The sequence below is a fragment of the Homo sapiens genome, chromosome 6 (assembly GCF_000001405.40).
Source record: "Homo sapiens chromosome 6, GRCh38.p14 Primary Assembly".
NCBI classification, from domain to species: Eukaryota; Metazoa; Chordata; class Mammalia; order Primates; family Hominidae; genus Homo; species Homo sapiens.
In genome coordinates this window covers 13,299,050-13,304,950 of record NC_000006.12, presented here as the reverse complement: position 1 = coordinate 13,304,950, position 5,901 = coordinate 13,299,050, and the positions used below count along the sequence as shown (strand labels likewise).

Genomic DNA, 5,901 nt, shown 5'->3' with positions numbered 1-5,901 from the left:
TGCCTGGTGTTGCTGTGTTGGCGAGCAGCATCTTGCAGTTACATAGAAATGTAAAGTTCATCTCTGAATAGCATTTCAAAAGGGTTGTTAGAAAATAGCTCCCTGATTTTAAAGCGGTTTAGTCAGGGTGAGTGGGTGTGTTAACCAGCAGTGCATAACTAAGCCTGCCCTGCCTGTCTCTAATTAGCACCAAGCTAGTTACTTTCAAGGTCTGTTTCTAGAATAAGAGTGACTTCCTTTTGTTGACACCTCAGATTTGGCTTTTGTTGATGCAATACGTGTTTAAATCCAAGCCAACTGCCTTCTGAGGCTTCATCTTGCTAAACAGGCTTTAAACAATTCCTTACTCTTTTTTCTCTTTGGGCCAGTTGGAATGAAACCATTATTGAACAAAATGTGTTTGAATTGCTCCTAGGAGCAAGTACTTGTTGGATATTTTGCTGCACTCACATTTTTCTTGATGGGGTGTTAAATGTGGGATGTTAGGGTGCACTGTGCCACGCACTAAAGCAGTGAGAGAAATGGCCGGTGAAGGTGAACAGCTCATCACCCCTGGGCCACCTTGTGCCACGTAAATGGCATGGCCACTCTTCACTGGATAGTTCCCGGCTTTGGGAGTAGTGAGTGAAAGGGGACCCTTTGTTTCACACCGGTTTAGCCTTCAGACCTGCAAGAGCCTGAGTGGTGAGTTGGATTTTCCACCCACCCCCTAAAAGACGAGGGCAGCTATGAACTTATAGAGGTACAATTCTGAGAATTCAGGCCCTCCTTAGTGTGTGAAATATCTGTTGAAAAAAAGTTCAGAGAAAGTGTGAGCTGTTGAAATCTGCTGCTTCTGAATACTAACATATCCAAGAGTATTTAATTTTTTAAAATAAAAATGCACTCCAAAGAAAAACCTTTTAAAGCAAAATTGCTGCCTAGAGTTAAAATTTTAATAAAAAATGACTTATTGCCAACCATTTATGCCGGAGCCAGGCAGGAGCGCTGGTACTCTTAGGGAGCAGGAAGGCTTAGGGGCTGAAGTTCCTCTGACTTCGCTGCTTTGGCTGGAGGCCAGCTGATCTGAAACGAAAGACTCTTACTGTACTGCTGAGAGATCTAAAAATAAATATTCTGCAAGTATATTCTGTCAAACCCAGTTTGGTAAAACCTTTCTGGCTGTAGGGTGTGGGGCGGCGATTTTTTCTTGAAGTTAGTCAATCTGAGAGTTTTTATTAAAACACTGATTGGCGGAATGATTTTTTTAAGGCCCATCCTGAGAAAGTGGTGGATGGAGAGGATGAGCATCCAGTTTCGCTTCATAGCAGAATTTCACTTTGCTGAGAGCTGAGTGTTTTGAAAATGTTTGTGCCTGCTGTCTTGGGTGAGGAGCGCAGTTCCTGATAAAAATACATCCATATGCCTTTTCTTCAAAACATTTTGTCAGGATACTGCAGAATTTTTCCTTCATATATTACAACCCACGGTTCCTGTCACAGACTATTGCGGCTAAAATGTGAGATTCTTCCTCGCCCTTGGAAAGCTGGAATTTAACATGATCAAATTTAGTTTCTGCTCTTTCCCGTCTAGAGATTTGCCTTAAACACAGATGAGAGAAGATCTCAGTCCTCTTGGCCAGGAGAAAGGAAGGCCGAGGAAGGTTGGAGAGTGTGTGTGTGTTGGGGGTGTGGCTTTGGCCTGCTGACAAATCGAATGGATGGATTGCGTCGAGGTATAATTGTGTAGAGGATTGTGTGTACACAGGCTTGTGTGTCAAGGCTGTTTCAGGAAATGAGGTCAGGGTTCATGAGAATGAAGCACTTTCTTTGTTAATGGAAAGTTCGCCTGAAAATTATGAGGCAACACTGAAATCATATGATGCGCTGAAGGAGCTCCGAGGACCTTCTTGCACTGTAGCTCTGGGTATGACAGGCACTTGCCCTGTCTTGAATTGCATAAGTTTCCTGTCATGTGGTTATCACGTCCCTATGGTGACTCAAGGTTTTGGTGTTTTCTGTCTGAAAATGAAGAACCTGGAGGGAAGCCAGTGGGGATGAGGAGGGTAAGCAAAGAGCTTAGATGCCCAGGACCAGATCCTAAAATGAGTCACTGGCTCACATGGCCCAAGTGACAGCGCCTGCTCGAGCTCTGTGACCGTAAGCAGCAGAGTGACATCCCAAGTTCTCCAGCCAAGGCAGCCTTTGGGGAGCCTGGTGAGGGGTGTGGGGTGTGGACAGTGAATCTGCCCGGGTCACATAAGGTCAGCAGCCTTTGTCTTTAGCTGGGTGTTTTGGGTCTAGAAGGGCCAGAAGGTGCTTTCCTCTGCCCTTGACAGAGAGGGAAAGGAGTGTGGGAATTTGGGGAGCAGGAGTTGGTGGCATCTCCTCTGTTGGTGAAAACAAAGAGCCGTTTCTCCTTGAGACTGTGTGCCAAATGAAACTGTCCGTGGCTCTTGGCACAAGCCGTGGCTCCTAGATCAGCTGATGTTCCTCCAGAGCTGGCACCAGTTTGAGTAGGAGGGAGGGGTGATGGATGGCGGTGTGGAGAACAGAGGGTGGTAGTGATTTCTGGGGGACCACGGTGGGGGTGCTGGCCTTTCATGGCTTTCCCGACCAGTCGCCCTTTCCACTTTGGTCCCTCTGTCAGCCTTGCCTTGGGGAGGTTAAAAAGTGAGTGGACAGTTTCTAGATGAGGTGATAACTCCCCATAAGGGGAGCCCCCTCCCAGGGGCTGATTTTACTCCAGGACAATGACAAAGGGAGTTGGAGAATGTCATCAGAGAAGGACACACAAGAATCCTAGAAGCTCATCCTAAGCACAACTCCAAATTGAATGTCATAGCAAGCGCTTAAGGTTCACATCTCCAACTCATACCTAATACTGAGGTTTTCCTTTGCAGTTTACCAGGAACTTACATGGCAGGCACTCGGGACTGCCAGAGCTCACGCTAAGCACTGGCTTTATCACAGAGTCACTTCCTGGTCTTCTCCATCATCCTTTCCTAGAGTCTTAATAAGTAGCAAGCTGGTGCTTGCTGGACATTTTAGCATCTCTCTTTTCCCTGCTTCTGCCTGCCCTCTGGACATAATACTAAGAAGATTTGAGAGGGGGGCAGCAAAGAGGAGAAGCTTTGGAAGATTCACTCCTAAACATCAGGTGGCTGCACGCTATACCGCAGTGGGCCTGCATTCCCACCTCCCGTTTCTCCCTCCTCTGACCGATATGTTTGGTTCATTTGTCTTTTTATTTGTTTTCATTCAATCACAAAATATATGTGAATACAGTCTTAATTATGGGCCAGGTACTGAGCTTAATTGCTGAACAAGACATGGTATCTGCCCTCTCGGAGTGTACAAGCATGCAGGGAAGACATATTTAACAGATAGATGTTTTGTTCCAGACATCTTTAGTAGAAACTCTCAACTCCTGTGCTGCCACACCAGGGAGAAGGTGGACTGAGTCTGTCCAGAAGCTCCAGAGGAAGGGTAGAATTGCTGTGAGATGTGTGATTCTGTGTCCCCTTCACTTAGTAATGGAAGAGGTGACAGGAAGAGCCTTGGACCGGGCAGGGGGCATGAGCATCTGCCCCACTCACTAGTTTTGCAAACCAAGCCAATCACTCAGTCTGTGTCTTGGTTTCCCCATCATCAAACAGTGATTCTGTGACATCCCTCCCTCCCCAGCGTGCTTGTGAGCATCACATGAGTTGGCTGTGAAAGCACTTTTAGAAGCATGGAACTCTGGATATTTAATATTTTCAAGAGCATCATTTGCAAGAGTGTGGCTAGGCACTGTCTCTGTTTGAATCTACCGTATGCTTGGAGGCCTAACTCAGCTCTGCCTTCTCTGAAAATTTGTTAACTGCCAAGCTCAAAGTGCATTTTCCTAACTCTGAGCTTCTGTAACATTTCAGGGACCACTCATTTAGCAATAATTGTTTGGAAGTCTCTTGTTCGGTTGTCTTGAACTTTTATTAAGTGTTCCATGTGGTTTCCCTCTAAGATGCAAGATTCTTGAAGCCAGGGGCTGCCTTTAGCACACCCGAGGCACTGGCAGATTCAGTGTCTGGCGAGGGCCCTCTGTGTGGTTCATAGATGGTGCCTTCCTGCTGTGTCCTGGTGGAAGGAATGAACTCTGCTCTTTCAGCCCGTTACAAGCGTCCTAATCCCATGCATGAGGAACCACCCCAAGACCTCACCACCTTCCAAAGGCCCCACCTCCAAATACCATCACCCTGGGGGCTAGGATTTCAGCACACACATTTTAGGGGAAGACAAACATTGAGACTAATACATTGGTTTAGAATGATCTGTTTACGTCCCAGATTTATGTGACCTCTTTGAGGTTAGTGGTAATGACTTATTCTTTTTTTCGTTCCCCCAGTGTCAAGCACATCTCCTAGCCCACGTGGGCTCTTCATGAATATTTGTTGAATATGGGAAGGCCTGGTTCAGCATTAAGACGCCTCCATTGACAAGTAATAGAGTTGTTCTGAAGCACGCTTGCTTAAAGGAGATTTTATTATAGGATGCAGGGGTGAGGCTGAGAACCTAAAGAGGGAGGGCTTGGAGTCTGGGATGGGACTAAAGAGACCCTGGACCCTCTCGTCCTCTTATCTATGATCCACACAGTGTGTGGGCTCTGTCTAGAGTCTGTGTCTCTGCAGTCTGGATCACTCTGGTAGAAGATGCCCCACCCTAAGACGCTAAATGTATACATTACAGGTCCAGCCTCTGGAGACAGAGTTTCGTGACGCAATTCCTAAATCCATGGGAAAGAGGCTGTGGTCTGGCCTGGGCTTGGGGCTGCCTGTGGGCCAATCATGTAGAGCCTAGTGGGTGGAGGCATCCCACAGCAGACGCAGGGCCACCAGGAGCCTCCCTTGTGTCTACTGCAGTGCAGGGAGTGGTGAGCAAGGGGCCTGGTGGACAGGTCCACTGTGAACTGGGAAGAGACTCTCAAAGACTCTCCGCTCCACTTAGATCTGTTGACCAGATAAATGCCCTGCAGAAGGGCCAGGGGGTAACAAGAAGCCTTCCACCTCGACTAAGTCTCAGTGACTTTTCCTGCACCACTTCTTTCTGGTTTCTGCCAGCCAGGCAGGTGGGCAGCCAGCCCTTTCCGACGAGGGTGGGCAGAGGGGTAATATCACACCAGCAGCCTTGGTGAACTGACTCACATGGCCAGGTGCTCCCTTTGCGAACTTTCATACCAAGTCGAATTCAGTCCGAAAGTCTACAGAAAGTCGACTTTGCCCAGCTCCTTCCCCTCCACCTGGGTCAACTGGGGGGCTTCGCTGGCAGCAGCTGTGTTTATTTGTCTCTGATTGCTCAGGAGGGTGTATAGTTTCCCTGCAGGGTGTCCAACATCTGGGTGTCCAGACCAAGTTGGGCTGTGGCCAGGCTGGGTGGCAGTTGAGTGAACCTAAATAAAGCCAGTTAGGGGAGGCAGCTGCTAAGGCTGACTGATTTTCCGATCATACGGAAGGCACGTCCGGACCCGAGGGACGTCAGAGCTGGAGGGGAGCTTGCAGATCACTCCATACACAGATAAGAAAAGTGAGGTTCCAGGTGGTCTAGTGAGTTATTTATACAAGGTCCCAGTAGCTGAGCAAGCTCTGGAACCCAGTCATCCCCGCTGCCTGTCCAGAGTGTATTTCACCAAGCTGCTCCCTCATTCGGAAACACTGACCCATCTTTCTCTGAGCCTTAAAATCTCTCCATCTGGGCAAAACATTCGAGAGAGGCAGCATCTGCTTGGACCTATTGCTGGCTGGCTGGCTGGGTAACTCAGCACCATGTCCTTATTTGTACCCCAGGGGAGGGGATGAGAGTACGAGCTCCCACTTCACAGAGTGGTTAGAAGGATGAGCTACAGAAACAGACGTGAAATCCTTAGACCAGTGTCTGGCACAGAAGT

The 5,901-nt window shown here is 48.0% G+C and overlaps 1 protein-coding gene across 2 annotated transcripts in view, besides 1 other annotated feature; it reads left to right on the top strand.

Moving 5' to 3' along the window:
- TBC1D7-LOC100130357 (TBC1D7-LOC100130357 readthrough) overlaps positions 1-5,901 on the top strand; it is a 62,002-nt gene that overhangs the window by 23,587 nt on the left and 32,514 nt on the right. The window lies entirely within an intron of this gene.
- Positions 1,801-1,850: an enhancer, noted in NCBI's record as "active region_24023". NCBI's record gives its function as "activates an Ori minimal core promoter by ATAC-STARR-seq in GM12878 lymphoblastoid cells {active_cell/tissue: GM12878}" and the evidence as "EXISTENCE:reporter gene assay evidence [ECO:0000049][PMID:35858748]".